The sequence below is a fragment of the Homo sapiens genome, chromosome 12, assembly GCF_000001405.40.
Source record: "Homo sapiens chromosome 12, GRCh38.p14 Primary Assembly".
In the NCBI taxonomy this organism is placed as follows: Eukaryota; Metazoa; Chordata; class Mammalia; order Primates; family Hominidae; genus Homo; species Homo sapiens.
In genome coordinates, this window is record NC_000012.12 from 70,398,912 (window position 1) to 70,426,114 (window position 27,203).

At 40.2% G+C, this 27,203-nt stretch overlaps 1 protein-coding gene across 3 annotated transcripts in view, besides 1 other annotated feature; it reads left to right on the forward strand.

The window, feature by feature from the left end:
• Nucleotides 1-27,203, forward strand: part of KCNMB4 (potassium calcium-activated channel subfamily M regulatory beta subunit 4) — a 68,003-nt gene that overhangs the window by 32,622 nt on the left and 8,178 nt on the right. Inside the window, exons 2-3 of one of the 3 annotated variants that reach the window (XM_047428701.1) lie at nt 1,298-1,425; nt 23,796-23,935. In XM_047428701.1, coding sequence (XP_047284657.1) covers nt 1,298-1,425; nt 23,796-23,802 — 135 coding nt within the window. In that variant the 3' untranslated portion in view covers nt 23,803-23,935. Of the gene's footprint in view, nt 1-1,297; nt 1,426-10,531; nt 23,715-23,795; nt 23,936-27,203 lie in introns of those variants that run through there. The other 2 variants (XM_011538188.3, NM_014505.6) reach the window with 2 other exon arrangements.
• Nucleotides 2,724-2,924: a silencer, noted in NCBI's record as "peak1806 fragment used in MPRA reporter construct". NCBI's record gives its function as "represses an SCP1 promoter by STARR-seq MPRAs in K562 erythroleukemia cells {active_cell/tissue: K562}" and the evidence as "EXISTENCE:reporter gene assay evidence [ECO:0000049][PMID:32103011]".

A 27,203-nucleotide genomic window follows, 5' to 3' on the forward strand; every position in this document is an offset into this window, starting at 1 on the left:
ACTGTGGTAGAAGAAAAAGAAGGCTCCCTCAAGTAGGTAACACCAAACTTGAAGCTTAAAATAAAGGAGATTTAGGAACAAAGGGCATTAAAAGGAGAGAGAACAGCCTGTGCCAAGCAAGTAGGTTGACAGCACGTGGCAGATTTGGAGAGCAAGTACATCCATATGGCTGCATCCCAGAATTAAATGAGGGTGAAGACAGGCAGGGACCAGATCACAAAGAGCTTTGTGCATCATGCTAAAACATTTCAGTTTTACCAGAAAATAGTGAGAAGGTGTTGAATAATTGTATGCTGTAAATTAAACAATGTGACTGAAATTATACTATAAAACTCTATGTTGTGTTGGTTTGGTTTTTCCCTGCTCCTTAATATCAGATACCTTGGTAGAACACCTAAGAGTAGAATGTGGTAAGACCACCAGAATCTAGTTGTGGTTGTAGAGCTGACGAAAATCTCAATGTCTGCATCTATAAAATGGAAATTGTTATAGGGTTGTAAAAAGTACACAAGTTAAGTCCTGTTAAGCATTTGCGTCTGCTGTATTGCAAACACTCAATAAATAGAAACTGGCATCATCTTCGTCATCGTTGTAAAAAGCTGAATTGCAGAAAATGGATTAGAATGCCGAGAGTTCATTTTAACATCTGGACTTAAGAACAGTTGTCTGATTCTGCTTAATCTATATTGCTTACGATAATAGAGCTCCTTTAAGAGAACTACTTTGTCAGAGGCATGGCTAGGAAAAGACATCAGTTAGCAAAATACACTGATTATGTATTTGAAAGGAAATTTTCCACTGATTTTGTTGTCCAAGAGAATGTACGAAAAGAAAACTTGGGTTTCAGCAGTTAGGAGCAGTATCCTGAGAAGAGCTATGTGCTTGAATTTATTAGTTACAGGTAGAAGACAGAAATGCCAAGGTTCATAGATAGCAATTGGGGATAAAAATAAACTTTTTTATGCCTCCCTCTGTTGACGGACAGGTCACCAAAAGAGAGAGTATATTATGCTTTTAATTTGCTATTACATGGTAACTAATAGTTTATAAAATACCCTTACACCATAATGACTGAAGTTTATTTTTTGCTGTGTTTTTGTATTTGGAATACTTTCTGTCCTTGTGCCAAATTGGAAATTTGGAATATAGTTTAGTAATTTCAATTTGGTTGTATTTAAAAATTAGGGAGGCCTAAATTAGATTTACTGTCTTTATAATGCCATCTTTCTATAAAAAAAGACTGTATCTCAATGTTCCATAAAATAATAGGTTTACTTTCTGTATTCTATTTTGTTAGTGCTCCTATATCCCTCCCTGTAAGAGAGAAAATCAGAAGAATTTGGAAAGTGTCATGAATTGGCAACAGTACTGGAAAGATGAGATTGGTTCCCAGCCATTTACTTGCTATTTTAATCAACATCAAAGGTAAGTCAATATTTGCATGTGCGTGTTAAAATTGTTTGTAGACTCTGCAGCTTATTACACTGTTATATCGTAGATTATGCCCACTTGACAGCATGGAGATAGCCTCAACTCTTCTTTGCGTGTAATTAGGGAAACCCATATAATGAATCTGCAGGACAGAGAAAAAGACTTGTGTTGTACACCTTACCCTGTGAATATACTACAAAATGATAGTGACTTTAGGTAGGAACATTACTTTGCATTTCCTAAGAATTGCAGATTGATGCACATAAGCTAAGCAATGTGCAGATTTGCCAGCACTTTTAGACTGCATCGAATCTTACCTTTCCTTTTCCTTTCTATTCTGATGAAGCGTCAATAACGTGAGTTCACACCATTAAAACCTTACTTGACTTAGTACTCAGTTTATACCATATAAACCATGTAAAGATGGTTCCTTGGACTAGGGCACTTTGGTACCCACTCAGATTAATCAGTAATTTATTCATCAAACATTTATTGAGTATTCACAATTCCTTGCTGTACATCTCCACTTGGATGTTCCAGGGTTACCGCAAACCTTCACTTGCTCCCATAATCTCTGTCTTAGAAAATGGCATGACCATTCACTCATTTACCAAATCCAGAAACCTTTGAGTAATGCTTAGTTCATTTTTCTCCTTTGTACTTTGTAACCTATGTCACCATCATGTATTTTTGTTTGTTTTTAGACAGAGTCTCACTCTGTCACCCAGGCTGGAGTGCAGTGACGAGATCTTGGCTCACTGCAGCCTGCACCTCCCAGGTCCAAGTGATTCTTGTGCCTCAGCCTCCCGAGTAGCTGGGACTACAGGCACACACCACCACAGCTGGCTAATTCGTGTATTTTTAGTAGAGACAGGGTTTCACCATGTTGACCAGGCTGGTATCTAACTCCTGACCTCAAGTGATCTGCCTGCCTCAGCCTCCCAAAGTGCTGAAATTACAGGCGTGAGCCACTGTGTCCAACACATCATGTTGATTTTTACCTGTATCATGACTCTTCTCTGCCTCCCCACTATCACTGTCTTAGTTTACATCCAGATTTCTCAGCTCCATTAACGCAATAGTCTTGTAACAAGTCTTCCGCCTCCACCGTGGACCCACTCCAAGCCACTCTCCATAGTACTGCCAAGGTAATCTTTCTAACACATGAGTCTAATCAGGTTACTCTGCATAGTTTTCAGAATAAAGCTCAAACATCTTGGCATGGCCTATGTCAGATACCTATTGCTGCATAACAAACCACCCTAAACGTAGTGGCTTACTACAGCAATGACACTTTTTTTTTTTTTTTTTATGATTCTGTGGGTTGGCTGTGCTCATTTGTAGTCGGATGATGGCTGAAATAGCTGCATGGTTCAAGATGGCCTCCTCCCTCACATGCCCAGCAGTCAGTGCTGGCTGTCAGCTGGGGCGCCTCAGTATCCCCACCACCTGGCCTCTCATTCTTCAGTAGGCTAGATTGCCTTCCTTACAACGTGGCAGCCTCAGATAGCATTTCAAGAGAGGTAGGCCTCGGCTCTGGAATTTGAATAATATCACTTCTGACACCTTCTATTGGTCAAAGCAAGTCATGAAGCCAGCCGTATTCATGAGGTTCTGGAGTAGGCTTTGCCTCTTGATAGGAGGAGCTGCAAAACATTTGTCACCACATTTAATCTACCACAGGATACAAGGCTTCTCAAGATCTTGTCCCAGACTGTCACTTCTCCAACCTCATTTCCTTGCTCAAACTCTTTGCAATAGCCATTCTGAACTATGTGCACTTCCCAGAATATTTTATACTTTTATATGTATGCCTTTTTATTTGCTTTTCCTGCTTCTTGGCGGCCATACTGGAAATTCCTCAGATATCACCTTCTCTGGGGTGCCTTCCTTGATCCCCAATTTTGATTTAGTTCTGTATCAGTTGAGATGTGATGTGTTGCAGGTAATCAGAATTTTGACTCAAAGCATCATAAAGAAATTAGGAAATGTATTATTTTATACATCAAGAAATGCAAGGCCAGGCATGGTGGTTCACGCCTGTAATCCCAACACCGTGGAAGACTGAGGCGGGAGGATCACTTGAGCCCAGGAGTTCAAGGCCAGCCTGGGCAGCGTAGGGAGACCCTGTCTCTACAAAAAATTTTAAAAATTAGCCAGGCATGATGATGTGCACCTGTAGTCCCAGCTACTCAGGAAGCTAACATGGGAGGATCGCTTGGGTCCTACTAAGCCTTGGGAGGTTGAGGCTGCAATGAGCCATGATCACACCACTGCACTTTAGCCTGGGTGACAAAATGAGACCCTGCCTCAAAAAAAAAAAAAAAAAAAAAGGAAGAAAGAAAAAAATGAAAATGAAGGAGAAATGCACAGGTGGACGGATGTCAGGGTTGTTTGATGCAATGACTTAATAGTGTTACCAAAACCCAGCTCCTTTTCAAATCTGGCCTCAAGGTGGCTCTTTTCACAGTTATAATATAGTTGCTTCAGTTCCAGATGTCCCAGCCAGATGCAGCAGTGTCCAAAGAGAGAAAGAGCCTGTCTTTCTTGATGCATTTTTCTTGGGATTTGGAAAACTTTTCCCATCTTCCCACAGGCAACCTCCCTTCATGTATCCTTGTTCACAGTGAGTTCCTTTGCCCACACCTAAACCAATCACAAGAAAGAACAATCAGAATCAACCCCTGACTTGGGGCTAGTGTTACATCTCTTAAGTCACTTGGAGACGGGGTATACCCCTGAGTAGATTTGGGAAGGAAGAAGAAAGGGAACAAGGTGTTGTGGAACAACCAAAAATGCCAATGAAAAGGTTGTCTCCCATATTCCATAGTCATCGTCTTTTATTTTATTTTATTTTATTTTATTTTATTTTATTTTTTCAGGAAATGTTTCTGAGTCATAATATTCCATAGGCTTCTATTTACAACTCTCTCCCAGGAGCTTGCAAGGGTTGCTTCACATAACTAGGCCAGAGGAGCTTTTTATTTTATTTTCTTTTTGTTTTGTTTGAGTAGGAGTCTCGCTCTGTCACTCAGGCTGGAGTGCAGTGGCACGATCTTGGCTCACTGCAACCTCTGCCTCTCAGGTTCAAGTGATTCTCCTGCCTCAGCCTCCCAAGTAGCTGGGATTACAGGTGCATGCCACCATGCCCAGCTAATTTTTGTATTATTTAGTAGAAACGGGGTTTCACCATGTTAGCCAGGCTGGTCTTGAACTCCTGACCTCAGGCGATCCTCCCATCTTGAAGTACTGGGATTACAGGCGGGAGCCTCTGTGCCCAGCTAGAGGAACTTTAAAAAAAGAAAATTTACCACAGACCAATTAATTAGAATCTTTGGTGGTTGAAACCGGGCATTAGCATTTTGTAAAATCGATGCTAGGGATTCTAATCTATAACCAGAAACTACAGTCACTGTTCTGCCCTTTCACTTTTCACCCATTACTGGAATTGTTTGTATGCCCATTTTCCTCACCAGGCTGCACACTTGTTAAGGGTATGGGCCAGTCTTCTTTGTTTATGTATCTCTAATATCTAGCACAATGTCTGGGTTTCAGGTAATAAATATTTGGTGAGTGAATGAATAAGTGAATGCAATGTGTCAAATTAAAAGGAGGGTTCTTTGCTTCCAAGGAATTAGGACTTATTGCTGAAAGCATATGCATATGCACATATAAATATGATTACATCAGCTAGAAATAGAAGGGGGAAGACTGAACATTGAGGTGGCAACAATAAAGAAATTAAGGCTTGACAATGTAAGATACCTTAGGTAAATAAGTTATGTAATATGGAGTAATGAGTTTGTAAGCTAGAAAGGTAGCTTGGGGTTAGATTTCTAATGGGTCATTAGTGTCAAACTAAAGAGATTCTTTGTCATATAGGCAATAAAAATTTGTCAAAAGTTTTTTTTTTTTAATTGAAGACTGACATGAGTAGACCTTTTGAGTTAGAAAGTAACTGGTGTGAATGTTGAATGTATACTGGCTGGGAAAGATGGGTTAAAGGCAGAAAGAAAGGAGAGTACTGAGTGAAAAACATTTTTGAATGGTTACTGTGTGCCTGCCATTGTGAATGACATTTTGTTTAGATTACTAAATCTCTAAATACTAGCCCCATTTAACATATGAATAAATTGCATATTTAAAAAGTTAAATAACTTCTCCAGTGCACACAACTGTTAAGTGCAAAAACTGGAATCCAGTTAGTCTGATTCCCAAAGTTCCCATCGACTATCTGCTGGTCCTCGTAAGAGACTTTGAGGGCATAAACGAGAATAGTGGTGGTGAAAGTAGCAACAAGGATTATAGCAGTAAGATTTTTTAGTTAGAATCAACAGAACTTAATGACAATGTAAGTGATAAGGAAAAAGGTGTCAAACTTGACTGAGTGTTAGAAAAGGACAGTCTAGCTCTGAGTATGCTGAATTTGAGAGATTCTTAAAATATCCAGAAGATGCTTTGAAAGAGTTAGAAACACAGACTTTTAAGTTGAGGAGCAAGAGGTCAGAAGCAGTGCTATTCAGATGTGGGAATCATGGCGCACAAGCTGTAGTTGAAGCGAAGACAAAGAGTGCATATTGTGAACATTTAGAGTGAGGAGGGAAATGTTGACAGAATCTTAGGATCATCTACATTTAAGTTATAGGCAGAAGGAGATGAAGGAAGAGTGGCCAGAGGGTGAAAGGAAAATCAAATAAGAACGTCTTAAAAGGAGAGTATTTTAAGGAGAAGAAGTTAGTCAAGAAGAAGATAATTTAGGTACAGCCTTTGATAAGTACAGACTACTCATTCAAGAAGTTTGCCATGGACTACATCATACTAAATAGCAAAGAAAACACTCAACAGAGTGAAAAGGCAACCTACAGAATAGGAGAAGATATTTGCAAACTATATATCTGCTAAAGAGTTAATCCCCTGAATACATAAGGAACTCCTACAACTCAATAGTAAAAGAAACTAATAATCTGATTTAAAAAAAGGCTAAGGGCTTAAATAGATATTTCTCAAAAATAGACATCTAAATGGCTGACAGGTATATGAAACATTGCTGAACCTCACTAATCATCAGAGAAATGCAAATCAAAGCCACAATGTAATGTCACCTCACGCCTCTCAGAATGACTATTAACAAAAAAACAAAAGACAGGTATTGGTGAGGATACGGACAAATTGGAACCCTTGCATACCGTTGGTGGGAATGCAAAAGGATGCAGCTGCTATGGAAGACAGTATGGATGTTCCTCAAAAAATTAAAAGTAGAACTACTGTATGATCCAGCAATCCCACTCCTGGGTATTTCTCCAAAAGACTTGAAATCAGGATCTTGACTCTTCAAGATCCTGAAGAGCACTCCTCCTTTTACCACAGCAGTATTCACAATAGCCAAGATGTGGAAACAACCTAAATGTCCATCAGCAGATGAATGGATAAAGAATATGTGAAGCCAGGCGCAATGGTGATACCTGGGGTCTCAGCTAGGGGAGGCTGAGGCGGGAGGATTGCTTGGGGCCAGGAGTCCAGCCTGGGCCACATAGCGAGATCCGATCTCGAAAAGAAATAGAAAGAAAATATGGTATGTACATACAATGGAAGTGTTCAGCCTTTGAAAAGAAGGAAACTCTGCAACATGTGACGACATGGATGAACCTGGAGGACATTATACCAAGTGAAAGAAGCCAGACACAAAAAGGCAAATACTGTATGATTCCACTTATATGAAGTATCTAAAATAGTCAAATTCATAGATTAAAAAAGTGGAATGGTGGTAGTTATCAGGGGCTGGGAGGAGGGGGTAACGGAAGTTACTAATCAATGGCCATAAAGTTTCAGTCAAGTAAGATCAATAGGCTCTACAGACTTGTACAGTACAAGTCAACACTTGTGTACAACAATACTGTACTATCACCAACAGTAATGTATTGTACACTTAAAAATTGAAGAGGGTATATCTCATCTTAAGTATTCTTACCACAATAAAATAAAATTAAAGTTTCCTATGACTGGAAAAAGGCTTGGGGAGGAGGTGAGTAACTGAGGAGTGGATATAGAGAAATAAGCCTCCTGCAGATGAAAACTGTTGGAGGGAGAGAGAAAAATGGAATGTATATCGTAAAGTAAAAATGGAACGTGCCCTGAAGAAAACGAGACAGAATGAAATAAAATGCTGAAGGAGTACGCAGATTTCTTTTTCTGTGAGGTGGGACTCTTTGAGCCTGAACCCACTGCTGTGTGAATCAGGTGCTTCCTTGAAGCTTCCTGCCCTGGACTGGGAACTGGTTTCAGAACGTTCCTGAGCTTGAGCTTGCAGTTGGAGGTGAACAAGGCACCCCTTCCATGTGCTGTCCTGACTAGCTGGTGACCATGTTGATGAACGTCCTCTCACTCCCCACTTGGGAACTGCGTGTTGTAAGGGCTGCCTCCCCCTGACAGGGTTGTCTCCTCCTGTCAGGGCATGAATTTTGAATATTCTCAATACCCAGTCAAGAAGGACTATTCCTCCAGAAGTGTGAGGTCTACCTAAAAAGAGCTAAACCAAATTATATACTAAAAGTATAAAAGTATTTTTTTGTACTCTCGCAACAATTCTGACACCAAATGTGTGGGGTATTTCCACACCAAGCAGTTCAGTTCTCTGGTGACACTAGCTGGTGTCCTACAGTTCAGTTTGTTTCTGGAGTTGGCATCAGATCCCACAAATTAAAGGGTCCAGCCCCACAAGATGACCCCCACTTCAGATGTCAAGCGCATGTCCCAGCTATCTACCTGTACTTCTGGCTGACCTTCTCTAAGTCAGGGGTTCCCACATCCTCCCTCCTTGCATTCAATAATTTGCTAGAATGGCTCACAGAACACTACTTACTATTCCAGTTTATTATAAAGGACACAACTCAGGAACTGCCAGATGGAAGAGATGCATTGAGCAAGGGGCCCTCTCCAGGCACACCACCTTCCCAGCACCTTGATGTATGCACCAACCCAGGAGCTCTGGAGTTGTTAGGGTTTTTATGGCTATTACATAGGCACGATTGATTACAGCATTGGCCCTTGGTGGTTGAGTTGATCTCTAGCCAACTCTCCCTTGCCTGGAGAGGTGGCTAGAGAGAGGTGGTGCTGAATTCTTTTTTTTTTTTTTTTTTTTTTTTTGAGATGGAGTCTCACTCTGTCGCCCAGGCTGGAGTGCAGTGGCTTGATCTCTGCTCACTGCAAGCTCCGCCTCCCGGGTTCACACCATTCTCCTGCCTCAGCCTCCCGAGTAGCTGGGACTACAGGCGCCCGCCACCACACCCGGCTAATTTTTTGTATTTTTAGTAGAGACGGGGTTTCACCGTGTTAGCCAGGATGGTCTCGATCTCCTGACCTCGTGATCCGCCCGCCTCAGCCTCCCAAAGTGCTGGGATTACAGGCGTGAGCCACCGCGCCCAGCCTGAGGTGGTGCTGAATTCTAATCCTCTATTCACATGGTTGGTTCTTCTGACAACCGGTCCCCATCCTCCAAGAGTCACCTCACTAGTATAAACTTGGGCATGGTTGAAAGGGGCTTACTATGAAAAAACGAAGATTCTCCTCTCACCCCGACTACTCAGGAAATTACAAGGGTTTTACAAGTTCTGTGCCAGGAACCGGGGCAGAGACCAAATACAAATTTCTTATTATGTCACCTATAGCAGTTGTGTTAACTTCAGTACAGTAAATTTAAGCTCATTATACCTCCTTCAGAACGGATACACATTCCCTATCCATCATCTCACTGTCCCATTCCCAAACGGTGGGGGTGTAGATAGAAGCGGGGGTGGTCTATCACAGCCCAGCAGCACTCAAGACAGGATTTTTCAGCGACTCTGGGAAGGCAGGCGTTCGGAGTTTGGCTCTTTTACCATGACATATGTGAGAGGAAACAGGAGTGCTGTTTGGAGGTGTGAAAAATGGCAGCTCCCTGGTGCCATCTACTCTTAGTACACTTTTTACTACTGCTAAATATGAAATTAAAATAGACTTACTGTAGGGACTCCCAGATGCTCTTGAAAAGATGAACTTTATATTTAAAGAAACCTTTCGATTTCGCTCAAATGCAGGAAATTAGGGAGAATAGTCCAGTTTTGACTTTCAAGAAAAGGGTGTTATTTTAAAAATCTAAGACAAAGATTAGAGGAGTCTTAGCTTTCCACTGGTTAAGTCCTGTTGAGGCAAGCTGTATTCCAGTGTTGAGTCTGCAGCGGCCGAAGCAGCCCCGAAGCAGCTGTGCCTGCCGTGGGCAGTCAGTCTCGGTGCGGCCATCCCTCTCTACACCCAGGAAGGATTCTGCAGAGGCGTCACTGGGGTGAATTCATGCCAAGGGTTGAGTCCATTTGTGGCCCTCCCATATAACCTTTCCACTCTTTGCCTCCCTTAACCTCGAGGCTCAGTCTCCTTCCAAAATGTGTAGATTTTGTTTTTACACTTTTTTATTCAGGTAAGTTCACAATTCTCCCTATATCATGTTTTCATTTTTTTTCTCAGTCTTTCCCTGGCTTATTCCTTCTCAGCAAAACCTAACTTATACCCCCTTAACGAGTATACTTTGAAACCCCCTTTTCATTGCCAGAAAACTTCTCTGTATTCTCAATCTTTTCATACAATTTCCTTTCTTCATCTTTGCCTTAACTGGCTTCTCCTTGAAGAGGGCTTGTCCCTTTGAAAATAACTATTCATTCTTCAATTCCCTTTGGATCTAAAGGCCAAAAGGAGTGATCAGTCTTTTTATCTTTTCCTCTTGTTGGAGAGCATAGAGTTTTTCTATACAGGTTTACTTTTTAGTACTTTGTTTTATACCTCTGGATAGTAGGTCACAGAGTACACGGAGCAGGCTTACACAAACACACACGTCAAATGAACAAATCCAGCCACACCACCTGTGCAGTCTCTTGAATTCACTTCCTCCACCACTGCCTGGATTCAGGCTCTCACCTGGCTTGTTGAAGGCATCCTCAACTAGTCTGTCAGCCTTGGTCTTTCTCTTGTCTGTCATCCACACCACGCTAGGTTTTGTTTTGCTTTGTTTAAGCCTCCTTTTGATCTTGTCACAGTCCTTGATTAAATTTTTCTGCCTTCTTCTTATCTATAGGATAAAGGCCATGCTCTTCCAATTCCAACTTAAACTTCTGCCATTGAATTATGTGCCAGTCAAGGAAAACCAAAGACAAAACAACAAGAAAACAACAACAAAATAGCAGACACGGTCCTTGCCTTCATGGAGCCTATAGTCTGTAGTCACAACAGTAGTATAATTACAAAGTAGGGTAGTGCTATGAAGGGGAAGCTGAGGATGCTGCTATGAGATATTACGGCATGATGGGGAATTTCAAAGACCTTTCTGTGTAAATTAAAATTAGGTCAAGACCAGAGGATGTTCAAGAATTAGCTAGGTAAAAAGCTAGGGGGAGAATATTTCAGAATGAGATACTACCATGTGCCAATGTTCTGCAGCAAAAAAGAGCTTGGTGGTTTTAGGTACTGGAAGGCCAGTGTGTCAGGAGAACTGTGAATGAGTGGGAGAGTGGAGCAAGAACTATACAGGGCTTAGATTTCTCTTAAAATGTAGTGAGCAGCCAGTCGTTGGTTTTAAGCAGAGTGGTAATATGGTCTGCTTTACATATTTTAACTTTTATTCCAGCTGCATCAGTCACCTCGAGTCATTCTGTTTCCCATACACCTTGATGCCTTTGCTCCTGTCTCTTTCTCCTCACCTGGGGACACCTTCACCTTTTTTACTTCTGGGAATTAGCACAGCACAGTAGTCCTAGAATGAACTCTAGAACCAAACGCTTTCTAGTGGCGTGGTCTTAGATATGTTACTTAAATCTATCTGTGCCTCAGTTTCCTTTGCAGAAGTGGGATATAATATCAAGGAGATGGCATGTGCCTAACCCACAATAATTCCTACAAAAGTGTTTGCTATTATTGTTTTTATTACTATTATTAAGATTCACCTCAAATGTTACTGTGTAACCTTCTCCCACCTTTTCAGGTATAATTCATTACTTCCTCTTCTGCAGTCCCACACTGCCATGGTTGCTTTTATCACACTGTTAAGAGAGTTGAATATGTACTTTTTTGTTGTTATAGATTATGAATTCCTTAAGGGCAGCAGTCATGTGACATCAAGCATCGGGATTTACATTTCTCCTCTATCACTGATTAATTGTACGACCTTGGATAAATTGTGCAGCTTCTCCATCTTGGTTTCCTCGCCTGTAAAATGAGGATAGCATTACCCATCTTAAGAGCTTCTGTTTTGGTTTTGTAAGAAACACATTTGCACCATAGCTAATACTTAGTAAACACATATGCTTTTCTTCCCTGCCTCTGTAGATTTCTAACAACTAAGTTAGAAACAAAGTTGGGCCTGGTTATTTACTGATTGGAGGCTGAGGTGTTGAATAAATAAATAATGAGGGTTTTATGAATGAGTAAAACAACAACACAAAAAAAAGGAAGAAAGAAGAAATTCTGTTGTTAAATATGTTGTACTCCTGATGCTAACAGATATATCCTAATTTCTAAGTTCACTCAAAGTGTGTTTATCCTGTAGCATATGTTTTTAAATCCAGTTTACCCTTAGCATTTTAAAGAAAGATAAACATAATGGCCTGAGCTCAAATTGAGTAGTGGTTTCTTCAGAACACAGTTTTAAAGCCATTAAAATAGAAGATGAAAAGCAACTGATTAGAAAAAGACTGCTCACTTACTTAGGGTTTAGTTTTCTTAACTATAAAATTTGATAGACTGATGGATGAAATGATCTCTAAAATTCCTTCAAACTCTCAAATTCTATGGTTTTATGATTCCCTGGTTCTGAAGACTTGTACAAAATTACAACAACTTAAGATGCTAGATAAAATCCTAATGGTGAAAGGGAGAGGCAATTAGTAAAGAAATAAATGGTTAACAGTCTAGAGCCATTTAATGGAGAGGGAGACAGCCCTGCTACCTCAACGGTAATTGAGTTTCATAATGATGACACTGAGTCATCAAAAAAGGTTAAATTTGGTTCAACCTACTCTCCTTAAAAGGCAAAGAAATGTGTAATGCATTTTTAGGAAGATTTTTACCAATAATATTTTAATATTTTATTAGTTTTTATTCAACTTAAAATTTAAGCTTTAATTATTTGGAAAATTCACTTTTGTAAATGTCTATTTCCTCTCCGTGAAGCAAGCCCATTTCAGGGGCTACAGAGATCTTCCTGCCGCCACAGAATAGCTTATCACTCTGGTATCATGGTTGTTACTCTTTTTGTAATTTAGTGTCCTAAATTTTACACATAAAAATGCTACCATCTCAAGCTGGGAACAGTGGCATATACCTGTAGTCCCCACTACTTGGGAGGCTGAGATGGGAGGATCATTTGAGTCCAGGAGTTTAAGGCTAGCCTGGGCAGCATAGGGAGACCCTGTCTAAAAAAAGAAAAAAGAAAGTGGTAGATGAACTGAAGAGGTTGAAATAGATAATACTGTGCGTGTATGTCATGCTAAGGGGTTTAAATTTGTCTTAAGGGCAGTGGAGGAGTGACAGTCACATTTAAGTTTTAGAAAGATGAGTCTAGTGGCAGCATGGAGGGTAGATTGATAGAAGCCAAAGCTGGAGGATCCATGAACAATTTGGAGACTGTTGTACCAGTCTAGACAAGGGATGGTAGGAGCTTGGACAAAGGTAGAATTAGTGGAGGAAGAAAAGGAGGAATGGACATAGGACTTGAAGGAAGTGGAATCTGCAGATTTAGAGAAGTACATGATGCTTGATAGGGGTTGAGGTTAAGAACTGGATGGAATTGGATCCAGTTCTGGCTTTCTGTCCTGGGTAACTGTTTTGGAGGCACCATTAACTGGAATGTTCTGGGAAAGCCTTTGCTTTTCTGATGTGAGTGCTGCTGCCTCCTGCTTTCTGATGCCACAACAGCAAAAGGCATCATGCAGCTTTGAGGTGATAAACAGGAGAGTGGACATCTACACATTAGTAAGAGTGGAGCAAAAAGAGCCAGCTTCCTGGCACTCTTGTGGAATAGCTGCCCCTGCCCTGGCCATGCTACCTCTGGATTTCTTGTTATGTGTGACAGACAACACTTACATGCTTAGAAATAGGCATCTGAATATGTTTATAACCAATAGAGTGAAAAATGATTGGTCAGTTGTAGTTTATTTTCCGGACGTCTTTGCATTCTAAAAACAGATTGAGCTCTAAAAACAGATGCAAGCTCAAAAAAAGATTTATTTTAATATATTTATATGTTGAATTTAATTGTACCATTGGCTTCTAAGTTTTTCTTTTGGCTTTTTTATAGAGCAAATTACTAAAGAAAAAACTTTGTTTTTACTAGCAGACCTCTTAGTATACAAATGGGGAAAATGTGCATATAAAGATGGGACCTAAGATTTGGAACAAATTCCAGAGGAAAATTTTGTTGACATTGGAATGAATTACTAAATACTGTGTTTGATATTTGGTAAAAATTACTTATTTTTGTCTTCTACTCTGAGAAGTATTTCTTACAGTCTTATCATTAGAGAATAGACTGGTTCTAAGGCTATTTTTTACAGGAACATATTGGCTTTTTCTTTAGACATTAAACCCAATGATATATCCTGTATCTTAAAAAACAAAACAGTAAATCTGGAATCTTACCGAAACCAAGTATTTTCCATATACATTTGTGTCTGTCTCCATATTAAGAGAGATTACATCAGAGTTGAAGGCTTTCTTTGGTCCCAAAATCTGTACTTTTTAAAAAAAGCAGTGATTGCTGTGGCTTCTCCAGTATGCTGTGGAATATATATGGAAGTTATTCCAGTGTTTTTTCTCAGTCTGACATCCAAATGGCTGTACATTACTTAAAATCTACATTTGAGAGTCTGTTTTCTAATGGTTAATCAAAGTGTTTTCATGCTTGCAAATTCATCTTCTAACAGCTTTTATCATCGTGGCATTAAAGTTAAGAATTTGATGTTATTAAATCACTTTTCATTTAAGATATTTTATGCAGCCTTCAAACAAAGCCCTGAGGGAATTTGGGAGGAAAAATACAAGAACCGTAGGACAAGTAGGTCATAGAGTGCAGCATCATCAGATGGTGGAATGCAGGGCAGGGCTGTGCGTCAGGAGACTCCACTCCATTTCTATCCATGGCTCTCTTCGTGACTTAGTGATTGACCTTGGGCTACTTATCAAAGAGCTCTTGCCTCAGTTTCATCTTAGATAAAATGGGGCTAGAAGTCACCGGAAACACATGTCAAATGTATTGTGGAGTTCACAGACTCATAGACTGTCAAATCTGGGAGACACTTTTCATTCATTTGCTGCAACCCAAAATGAATCCCCACCACATAATTTTTTGAAGTGTTTTCTGTTCTCTACTTGAACGACTCTTGTGACAGTGGACATCACCTCCTCCTGAAGAAACCCACTCCATTTTTAAACGTTTTTAGTTGTCAAGAAATTAATCCTGGGAAATACCTAAAATAGGCAAATTCATAGAGACAGAAAGTATATTAAGTTTATCAGGGACTGAGGGAAGTGGAAAGTGGGGAGCTATTGCTCAATGGCTAGAGAGTTTCTGTCTGGTGAGATTTAAGTTTTGGGCTGGGTGCGGTGGCTCACACTTGTAATCCCAGCACTTTGGGAGGCTGAGGCAGGCAGATCATGAGGTCAAGAGTTCGAGACCAGCCTGACCAACATGGTGAAACCCCATCTCTACCAAAAATACAAAAATTAGCCAGGCGTGGTGGTGCATGCCTGTAATCCCAGCTACTCAGGAGGCTGAGGCAGGAGAATTGCTTGAACCCGGGAGGCAGAGATTGCAGTGAGCTGAGATCGCACCACTGCACTCTAGCCTGGGTGACAGAGCGAGACTCTGTCTCAAAAAAAAAGATTTTGGAAATAAATTATGTGAATCTAATTAATGCCACTAAATTGTGAGTCTAATTAATGCCACTCAGTTGTATACTTTACCACAATTTTTAAAGATTCACTGTGGTTAGTTCTATAATCTCAGTGTGGAGGTAGACCATATTGTCCAAGTTTTACAGAAGAGACAACAGAGGCTTTAAGATCACATGGCTAGGGAGGAGCAGTGTCAGGATCTGCACCTGAGTACTTGACCTTCAGACTGTGGGTGTCACCAAGTTCATATTGCCATCACTGTTGGGAACAGATTTGTTCTCATCATTTGGGATGCTTTTCTTACTGTGCCCTGAGCTGGCCAGTGCAGAGGAAGGCAGAACATTTCTACCACCCTTGATAAATCCAGAGACTGAAACTCAGTTAACGACATGGCATGAGCTTTTTTGGCAGCTACAGCACACTATTGATTCATATGGAGCTTATACTTAATTAAATTTGCTCTCCCAACATTTGATTTATACATGCTGCTCTTTATTAAAGCAGGTTCCCTCCATTCTTAAACTGTTGAGATTTGTGTAGCATTTAAATACGCAAGAATTTAAAATTTATTCCTATATGTGACTACATCTTGTTGCTTTTGACCGATTGTTCCAGTCTCATGATTATTTTGACTCTTGATTATGGTACCCATCATATTTGTTATATCTTCCATCATAATTCTATCTTAATTGTAAGTCAAAATGGCTTTGATTTTTCTCATCCAAGTTATCGATAAAAATGCTGAAAAGGACTAGGACATAGACCTATTTCACTGCTGATCTTCCTTTGGCCTTTCATAATAGCCGATACCTGTTTACCATGCTGCCTCTGTACCAGAAACTATTTAAATGTTTTTTACATATTAACTCATTGAATCTGCACAACACCCCTACAAGGCATTATTAACACAATCCTCATTTTATACATGAGGGAACTGGAACACAGAGGTTAAGCAATATGACCAAATCACATAGCTGGCAAGTGACAGAGCCAGGATTCAAACCTCTTAGTTCCAGAAGCCTCTTCTGTAAAACTTGGACAATATGGTCTACCTCCACACTGAGATTACAGAACTAACCATGGTGAATCTTTAAAAATTGTGGTAAAGTGCACAATTTAGTGGCATTAATTAGACTCACAATTTAGTGGCATTAATTAGATTCACAGAGTCTGTTCTCTTAAGCATTCTGCTCTGGTGCTGCTAACATCAGCCAGGATTCTAGTCCATATTGGGTTAGGATAACATAAGGGACTGTATTAAATCTAATTAATAAGATTGCTATTATAACATTTTTTAAAGTGCGTTGTTGGTGGCAAAATAATCTGAAATGCCAGACCAAAGCATTTGTGCTGTATCTTCTACCAAGAAATTCTTTCCCCATTTTTTCACCAAACTCTAATCTGTTCTTTCATGTCTGCTGAAAAGATACTTCCTTTTTATTTTCCCAGGCAAACTTCAGTTCTCCTTCTTTAATATTACCTCTGCACTTTGTACAAATGTCCATTGCATTTTGAAATGGATTTCAACAGTAAGCCAACAACAAACATTTATGAGCACCTAGAGCACATGCCAAGCATTATTCTGGGTAATGGGAATATAAACATGGGAAAATGGTGCTCCTGCCCTCGGATTTACAGCTGACTAGTGAGAGCCAACACACAAATATGGCCCTGGTCCCTGCTACATCATAGTTGTTCTGCAAATATCACATGGCTGAATGGAAGAGAGCTGAGTACCAAGAAAGTCTTTTAAAATGCCCAAATAAACATCTCTAAACTTTTTTGTGCTTTAGATTAAGATTATTTTTGACCATCATGGCTGTTTCCTTAGTGAAACCATTGGATCCTCAGCCCTTCCTGGTGTGTGTCAATGAGCTTAGGCTAAATTAGGCTGTGGTAACAACCTGAAAATCTCAGAAGCTTGTAACAACCAATGTTTATTTCCTGTCTAGGTCTGTCTTGGGTCGTGTGCAGCTCTGCTCCATGTCAGTTTCACTATGGGACCCCAGATGAAGGAGGGGCACCTATCTGGGACATTAATGCTAGTATCAAGGTGAAAGAGCAGAAAACAGGTTTCTGTAGGAATACCTGTGGCTATACTTTTTAGTGATTTTCAAATTCTTTACCATGTTTATTCCACCAATCTGACAGTTATTTACATGTGTTTTCTTGAATTTTGAATATCACATGCTACCAGGATAAAGTTAAGCTGCTGGCACATCTAAGAGAAACTTGAAGACTGATAGGGTCTTTTTCATTACTCAAGTTTTAAAATTCTATTGTTGAACTGTAAGTCACCACTTTAATTGTTATGCATATTTCTGTATAGTATTTTTGTTCTCCAAACATATTTGTAATCCTTCATTTAGGAAAAGAGCCTCAAAATTAATTTAGCTAATTTTACTTTGCAAAGGCATTTCAAGATGTTTAATGCATTTTAACTGAGAGATATTGCTTGACAGACTACAACAAAATTGAATGTAAAAATTGAATGTATAGTAAAGTATTCTTTACTATATAATTTAGGGGTTAGGATGAATGATTCATTGCTAGCCTTGATAGAAATGCTAGCCTATTTCTGTCTTCCTACAAGCAATAGCAAAATATATATAAGCTGCTAATTATTTAATTTAAAAAAACCGGTGTGTAATACACTTTAATGAAATAGGCTGTTAACAATTGGGAATCTTCTAGAATGATGATATTATAACAGAAGGTAGCGCTTTCTTCAGAAAGACATGCAGCTGACTTTCCCTTCACCCAGGATATATTTTTCAAATCCTTTCTCCAGAGCTGCCAAAATAATGGTACAATACTGATGCTGGAGCTATAGAAAAGAAAATAAATTGTGGTGATGGGTAGATTTTTCTTCACTGAGGATCTAATTACAGGGAATTGGACTTAACCTAATCAGACTTTAACGACAATTTCCTAAGAGTAAATTAGGGAACAAATTACTGTGAGATGAGTTGCAGAATCTTTTTCAGAGGTTTGGAGAAAGACAGAATGTCTGTTCACCTGTTTGGCCCCATTTAGTATTGGCTTAACCAGGCGCTGGCAGCAGTTCCTAGCATGCTGGGTCTGAAATTGTGACATGTATAGGAGCAGCAGCATTGGAGGCTCCTCAAGGAGGACAAAGCACCTAAACAGGGATGGGGCAGGTGAGTTGAAGGAACAGGAACTGCTTGTGACAGTTGTTATGCACACATTGGGGTTGGCTGGGCTAGATAGAGATCGATTAAAAGATGAAGCAGGAAGAAGAACAGTAATGACAGAATGAGTAGTAAATATGATCATTCATTCTTGGAAATTATCTGAAAATAGTTGGCACAGTCTGTAAAAACACAAGCAAATACACATGCCTGTTTATGCAAATACATCCATGATATTTGCAATTTCAAACAAATATATGTGGCCTTTGGAAAAAACCTCCATGAAATCTAAGATCTTGTTCCCTGCCCGCTACCTTAATTTGCTTAACTGACACTCTATGGCACTGGATTTTCACTTTCTTCTTTGAAGTCTTTTCTTATTCCACTAACATTTACTGAGCTCTCACTTTGAGCTTAGCAGGGTGTGATGCTCTTCTAGGAGCGGGAATACTGGGAAAAAAATCCAGGTTATTGGGAGTTGAACAAACTCACTGAGACCACCGACCATTCTTTATGGGGGCATTTGTGGTTGAGCCATGGGAGACTCAGCTAGCCCGTGTTGCTATGCCCCACTTCAATTGTCCTATCTAAGAAGCCATCTTGATTTTATATCAAAATTCATGGGGAAAATGTGCCTTGACTTCCTTTTAAATGCCTTATTTTGTCTGTGCACATCATACCCAGGACTGTTGAGATGGTAAGAAGATACATTGGCATTTGGGGGGATTCCTTACCCACCTCATTTCCTTGAGAACCAAATTCTAAAGCTCTTGCCAGCCTTACAGACACCCAATGGAATCCCTGCTCATATGCATATTTTGGGTGCATCAGTATGTTTGTCATTTTCTCCCTGGAAACGGTTTCTCACACCCACGTTGCAAGTGTGTGATCTGTGATTATATCTCTTTTCTGTGTCCTCTTTGCCTGGAGCGAGGGCTGAGAACATGATTCAGCTTAGGGAAATGATACAAAATGTGGTTGTTAAAGTGATCTTTCAAAAAGCAGCTTTTTATATGTGTGCAGTCACTATGCTTGGTGTAGCCTATGACTTCATTCACCTGAAGCAATGAAGCAGATTCCAGGATTTTAGAATTATGGTCTTGGACAAACCTAGAAGACACCTGCTTTTAGGCCCTTGGATATAATCTTATTTCATTTAAAAGATTTTGAAGATTTTGAGACAAAGGCGCGTGCTAACTTTGCTCCGTGATTAATCCTTCCAGAGTTTGTTGCCATCTTGATTTTATATCAAAAATCATGAGGAAAATGTTTCTTGACCTCCTTTTAAATGCCATATTTCATCTGTGCACATTGTACCCAGGATTGTTGAGATGGTAAGAAGATACATTGACATTTGGGGGGATTCCTTACCCACCTCATTTCCTTGAGAACCAAATTCTAAAGCTCTTGCCAGCCTTATAGATACCCAATGGAATCCCTGCTCATATGCATACTTTGGGTTCATCGGTGATTTTTGCTCACTGTGACTAATCCTTCCAGTGTTTGTAGCCTTTCTTATAAGGAGAACTTCTATTTCAGCTTTGTTAATTTGGCTTCACAAAGTAAAATAAGGGGCCCCATTGTTTTGTCTTAATCAGTGAAGGGAATATGGGATGTCCTGATATAATTAGTCCTTTGATTTTTAGTCCTATCCAGCCCGGGCTTGCTTGAGAAGTCCCTTGTGTAGCCCTATATTATCAGACATGCTATATCACAGCAAGCACCTTTTGATGTTTAAGAATTAATTCCTTTAAGGAATTCTAAAAAAGAAAGATATTTTCAGCATTAACATCCTAAATCAACATTTCCATTTTCTGAGGATGTTTCTTTAGCACTAGGCATCGCTGAGATAGAAAATGAGTTCTGAGAGACTTTCTTTGGAAACAAAATGGCTCACCCTTAAATTTCCCCGTTTCTGGATGAAATCTGATTTAATAATACAGTATTGCTCTTCAAATATGAGAGAAATCATTGTAAGGAAGAATGTGGGTTTTAAAGAATAGAATGGGTTGGATAAATGTTTTTATAAAATAGAAGTGAAAGGATCAGAAATCAGCAGTATCAAAACAACAAGAAGAACTGATTAAACCATGCACTTGTTACCTCTGAATTTCTCTTTGCAGAAATTCTACTTCAATTTTAAAATTCAGAATTAAAAAAAAATATTCAAAGGATAGTTAATGAACAAAAACTTTAGGAAAGTCAAACATGGTGTGGCATAGGATTGGGGCTAAAGTGAATATGCAGTTTAGAATTGCTAGTGACATTGTATCATAAAAGAACTGAGTAAAGAAGAACCAAGAATCTTTGGGCACATTTGATAAAAAATAAAGTTGAAAAGGAAATATCAAAGATGTATTACAAAGACAAAAAGGATATTCTATAAAAAGTAAGGAGGCACTTAGGGAGGATGGATATTAAAATTGCAAAGTGTTATTAATGCTGTGGTTAGGAACAGCAGATAGTGGTGGAAATAGTGGAGATCTACCTAGGCAAAGGCACAATGTAGGAAAAGGATGAAGGAAAGAGAAGTATTTCATAACGTGTGCTAATCTTTGGGCAGGTGTGTCTTGTATGTAAATGCCTGTCATAAAAGGCAAACACTGAAAAAAGAATGAAAAAAGTAAATCTTATAACTCAGATTGTAGATCTGAGTTATAAAATAGAATTAATAGAAAACAGTTTATTCCCTAGGTTATTTTTAAATACTTCTGTTGATGATTTAATTCTGAATGACTAACTGGGAAAGGGGATAGAAAACTTGTGCTAGTAAGGAACTGATTACAGTATAGGAGAGCGGTTTATGGTACTGTGGCTGTCTGAATAGTGGCCCCCAAAGATGTCCACACCATAATCCCGATGGATTTATGTTATTTTACTTTGCTACCATGTTACCTTGTATGATAAAAGGAACTTTGCAGATGTGATTAAGGATTTTGAGATGGGGAAATTATACTGGATTGCCTGAGTGTGCCCCAAATGCAATCATGGGATACTTATAAGGGGGAGATGAGATCAGAGAGAGTAGTAGGGGATGTGATCAGGGAAAGGAGATTAGAGTGATGCCAGGGAGGGGGCCATGAGCCAAAGAATGCAGGAAAGGATGCTGGGAAAGGCAAGGAAACAGATTCTCTCCTAGAACCTCCAGAAGGAACACAGCCCTGCTGACACCTTCATTTTAGTCCAGTGAAACAGATTGCAAACCTCTGACCTCCAGAACTGTAAGAAACTACATCTGTGTTGCTTTAAGCTACTAGAGCAGCAATAGGAAATAGATACAGGCAGTAATTTGCAGATAGTTCTAAGTGTAATTGACTTTTACAATGAATATGAGCTTTTCTTCAACTTTGAGCTTTGAAAATACTACAGATTGCCAGGCGCAGTGGCTCACACCTGTAATCCCAGCACTTTGGGAGGCCGAGGCGGGCGGATCATGAGGTCAAGAGATCGAGACCATCCTGGCTAACACGGTGAAACCCCGTCTCTACTAAAAATACAAAAAATTAGCCGGGCGTGGTGGCAGGCACCTGTAGTCCCAGCGGGAGGCTGAGGCAGGAGAATGGTGTGAACCTGGGAGGGGAGCTTCCAGTGAGCTGAGATAGCGCCACTGCACTCCAGCCTGGGCGACGTAGCGAGACTCCGTCTCAAAAAAAAAAAAAAAAATACTACAAATTTTAAAAGGTTCTGGTTCTGTATCATACTCTTGGGGTTGTCAAATTCATTTCTTCAAGGTTGGAAAAGTTGGACTTGGACTAGATTTGAGGTCACCTATGCTGTGTAGGGTTTTGTAGAAAACTGCTTCCCAGCTGAGTATGGTCGCTCATATCTGTAATCCCAGTGCTTTGGGAGCCCAAAGTTGGAGGATTGCTTGAGTCCAGAGTTCGAGACTGGCCTGGGTAACATAATGAGATCCTGTCTCTACAAAAAATTGTAAAAATTAGCTGAGCGTGATGGTGGGCACCTGTAGTCCCAGCTACTAGGGAGGCTGAGGTGAGAGGATTGCTTGAGCCCAGGAGGTTAAGCACTCCAGCCTGGGCGACAGAGTGAGACCTTGTCTCAAAAAAGAAAAAAAAAAAAAAAAAAAAAAACTTTTCCCATACATACCCTCATTTGATCTTCTTAATGAGGGTTTTATTTCCCATTTTACAAATGAGGAAACTCCAAGGGTTTTTATTTATTTATTTATTTATTTTTGAGACAGAGTCTCGCTCTGTCGCCCAGGCTGGAGTGCAGTGGCGCAATCTTGGCTCACTGCAAGCTCCACCTCCCAAGTTCACGCCATTCTCCTGCCTCAGCCTCCCGAGTAGCTGGGACTACAGGTGGCCGCCACCACACCCATCTAATTTTTTGTATTTTTAGTAGAGACGAGGTTTCACTATGTTAGCCAGGATGGTCTTGACCCCCTGACCTCTTGATCCGCCCGCCTTGGCCTCCCAAAGTGCTGGGATTACAGGCGTGAGCCAGCATGCCTGGCCTTTTTTTTTTTTTTTTTAACGAAGTTATTTTTCTAGAGCATTCATAGTTTGTTTTTATACAGTTAAGGTTCTCATCCATCTGGATTTTTTGGTAAGTGTGGGGAGAATAAAATGAGGAGCCGCTGTTTTTTTCTCCAAATGGCATGTATTGTCCCAACACAATTTATTGAATCAATAATTCATCTCTCCCATACGAATTTAAACTATTGAACTTTCACATCAAATTTGGAACTACAAAGTAGGTTAACAAGGTGAGAACTATTATAAGAATAATCTGTCTCAAATGAAGAATGTAAATGTCTTCTTGTCTCCAGTTTATTTCTGCTTAAACCTTAAGTTTAAATGTTTGGACAGAAAAACACTTATAGTCCTCTATGAAATAAATAACTTGGTAACTCAGAGAAACCACAGACCAAATTACTCTGAAGAACAGCAATTCTTAAAGGAAACCTCTCAGGAATTTCTGGAACAAGGCTGTCAGCTAGTTTTCAAAATCCTGCACTTCTGATGAAATCAATGAATTGAAAGTCCTCCTCTCTGGTGTGGAGATAACGTTGAACTGATCCAGGTTCCTGAGCAGCTCAAGGAGGTCGATGGAAGAGGAAAAGGATTTAATGTAAATTTAATGCAGTTTCTTAGATCTGATCTTAGAGAATATCTAACTAGGTTGAAAATTCTCTTTCTGTTGTATTTTCAATGGAAGAGCAACAAAGGATTTCTAATTAATAAAGCCTTTTTGTGCCAAGCTGACTTTAGAATAAAATTCATTCGTTGATTTGCCTTTTTAAAAAAGACAGAAAGTCATAAGCATCCTTCTGGTTTGCAGGTCTTGATGATTACCCCTCTTTATTTCTGAGAACTCAGGAAGCATCTCCGGCAGGGGTTATCCTTAATAGGCCCCCGATCTCAGGGTTTTAAGAATCACATTGGGAAAACCGACAGATGGATAAAAAATAATTACCACACAGTGTGAGTAAAACCTTTTAAAAAGTCTATTACTCTGGGAGCACAGAGTGGCGACGGTTTCCCCAGGCCTCTACTTTAGGAGACTTGGTTGAGACAATTACTTCACTGGGCTGCATCTGAAGGGACGGTCATCTTAATCAGTAGGAAAACATTTGCCAAACCCAGCTACCGTAAGAATTTAATGCTGTTAAATGATAGTTTGTGGGATAAGTTTGGGGTATAACTTCTATTTGTAGTCCTAATCATGGGTCTAGTGCTACTGAATTATTTTTTTCCTTGCTGTACCTGAGATACATATATAACACTTTATTTCTCCAAAATAACATACCTGCCAGTTTTCTGGATATCCTGCCAAAACTGAATGCAAATTTTTCTCTCCAAAAACTGCAAGTTTGGGGCTTGATTTAATTTTCTCCATGAAGAATAGGCAAGCTTGATGGGCAGCAACTCTTGTACAATTAAACATTAGTACTTAAAATTAACCTACTTTGAGAAAACAGCTAAGGAAAATGTAAGGCTGTTTATAACATTCATACATCTATAATCAGCCTTTCGTTCATAGATAGGAAGCATCTGTGGAGCAAACCATAATCTTGTTATAATACCTCCCTAGCCTTTTTCTTTTTCATCTTTTTTTTTTGGAGAAGGTCTCAGTCTGTCGCCCAGGCTGGAATGCCGTGGTGCAATCTTGGCTCACTGTAGGCCCACTGCAGCCTCAACCTCCTAGGCTCAAGCGATACTTTCACCTCAGCCCCTAAATAGCCAAGACTACAGGCGTATGCCACCACGCCCATCGAATTTTTTTATATTTTGTAGAGACAGGGTCTCCCTATGTTGCCCAGGCTGGTCTTGGTCTGGGCTCAAGCAGTCCTCCCTCCTCGACCTCCCAAAGTGCTGGGATTACAGGCATGAACCACTGTGCATGGCCACCTCCCAAGCTTTTAAAAGCCCTTATCACAATATCATTGGTAGACCCCAGTGGGCAAAAATTGGCTCATGATACTGTAGGGGACAAAAACAAACAAACAAAATACTTTTCCTTTACATTTCAGGTTTAGTGGCTGGGGCCTGTGAATTAAACTGACAAAAGGTAAATTAACCAGAGAAAAAGCATACACATTTTATCAATGTTAACATTTTTATGAGCATGGGGCTTCACAGTAGTATATAAGAAGTGTTTAGACTCAGGGCTTGTCTACCTAACTTAGTAGGGAAAAGGGAGAGGAAGAAAAGTTTCCTATGGGAAGGACAAATGGCTTTTTAGGAGGACAAGTTAGTGGTAATGTTTTTCTTTATGAGTATTAGTGGTCTTTCTGTCTCCCTCAGGGCCACAAAATTCCCCTGGAGAAGGGATTTACAGTAGCCTCAAATCTCAGAAGCTACTGCTTTTAGTCAGATAAGGGAAGATCCAAGAAAGCTTTGTTTAGCACTTGTTGAATCTAAAATGTCTTCAGCTTAAGATAATCTTGAAACCAATGCTGGAGTTCTGAGTGGATCCCCACAACAGAGCAGTTCAATGTAAAGAATACTGCAAAGGTGAGCCGAGATCGCGCCACTGCAGTCCAGCCTGGGCAACAGAGCGAGACTCCATCTCAGAAAAAAAAAAAAAAAATATTGCAAAGGCTGGGTGCGGCAGGGCATGCCTGTAATCCCAGCAATTTGGGAGGCTGAGGCAAGGGGATCAGTTGAAATCAGGAGTTTGAGACCAGCCTGGCCAACGTGACAAAACCTTGTCTCTACTAAACGTACAAAAATTAGCCGGATGTGGTGGCACACGCCTGTAATCCCAGCTACTCAGGAGGCTGAGGCAGGAGAATCGCTTGAACCCAGGAGGCAGAGGCTGCAGTGAGCCGAGATCGTGCCACTGCACTCCAGCCTGGGCGACAAGAGCAAAACTCCGTCTCAAAAAAAAAAAGAATACTACAAAGGGTCTCTGTGTTCTGGTCTCTGTAGTCCCACTATAATTTATAACATAACTTGATATAGCTTTTAGGTTGCCTTCCTGTGATTGCATAGGAAGACAAGCACGCTCTGCTGCTCTCTTGGCAAGGTCTTACGATTGCCTCAAACAACAACTAGACACACTGGCTAATTACTCTCAGTAAGATCAGCTCAGTTATGCCAAAACCAAATCCAACACTTTTCTCAGTTAATTGTTAACATCTTTCAGTAGAAAACATCTTGGAAATCTTTTAAAAGTCATGAATCAATAGATCAAGTCAGATATTTTCATGGGTTGTGTTTTAATACAATCTCTTTCCAGAAATCCCATAGCATGGAGTTTTGCCAAAAAAACAAAAAACATTGAGGCCAGGTGTGGTGGCTCATGCCTGTAATCCCAGCACTTAGAGAGGCCGAGGTGGGCAGATCACAAGGTCAGGAGATCAAGACCATCCTGGCTAACACAGTGAAACCCCGTCTCTACTAAAAACACAAAAAAAATTAGCCAGGTGTGGTGGTGGGCGCCTGTAGTCCCAGCTACTCGGGAGGCTGAGGCAGGAGAATGGCGTAAACTCAGGAGGCAGAGCTTGCAGTGAGCCGAGATCGGGCCATTGCACTTCAGCCTGGGCGACAGAGCAAGACCCCATCTCAAAAAAACAAAAACAAAACAAAACACTGAATAATACTCGCATCAAGGCTTTCTAGATTACATATCGTGGTCAGTAACTTTTGCCTGAAAACCTATGACATAGGCACCTCTTTCACTTGTGGCATCTCATTTAAAGATTTGTTTATACACTTGACATTTCTGTAGAAGACTTTCTGAGGCTCTCTGAAACCCAGCCTCAAGCAAAGTTATCTGGGAAAGATCACATGTCAGGTCTTCTTTGGTTTTCATTATAAAAAAATCATTGTGCCACCTCCATGTTAGGAATCTAACCTGATGGGACACCCTCACCCAGAAACATAGGACACTTCAGGCACCTCAGTGATTTGAGTCTTGAACGATTTGCTCTTCAGCCATTGTCAAAAACTAGGCTGATGCATTTGATATTTAAAAAGCATTTTTAGCTGGGCGCAGTGGCTCACGCCCATAATCCCAGTAGTTTGGGGGGCCGAGGCAGGCGGATTGCTTAAGCTCAAGAGTTCAAGACCAGCCTGGGCAACATAGTAAAACCCCATCTCTACACAAAAATATGTAGAGATCATGAAAATGACCTGAACAGGCCAGGCGGGGTGGCTCACGTCTGTAATCCCAGCACTTTGGGAGGCTGAGGCGGGTGGATCACAAGGTCAGGAGTTCAAGACCAGCCTGGCCAAATATGGT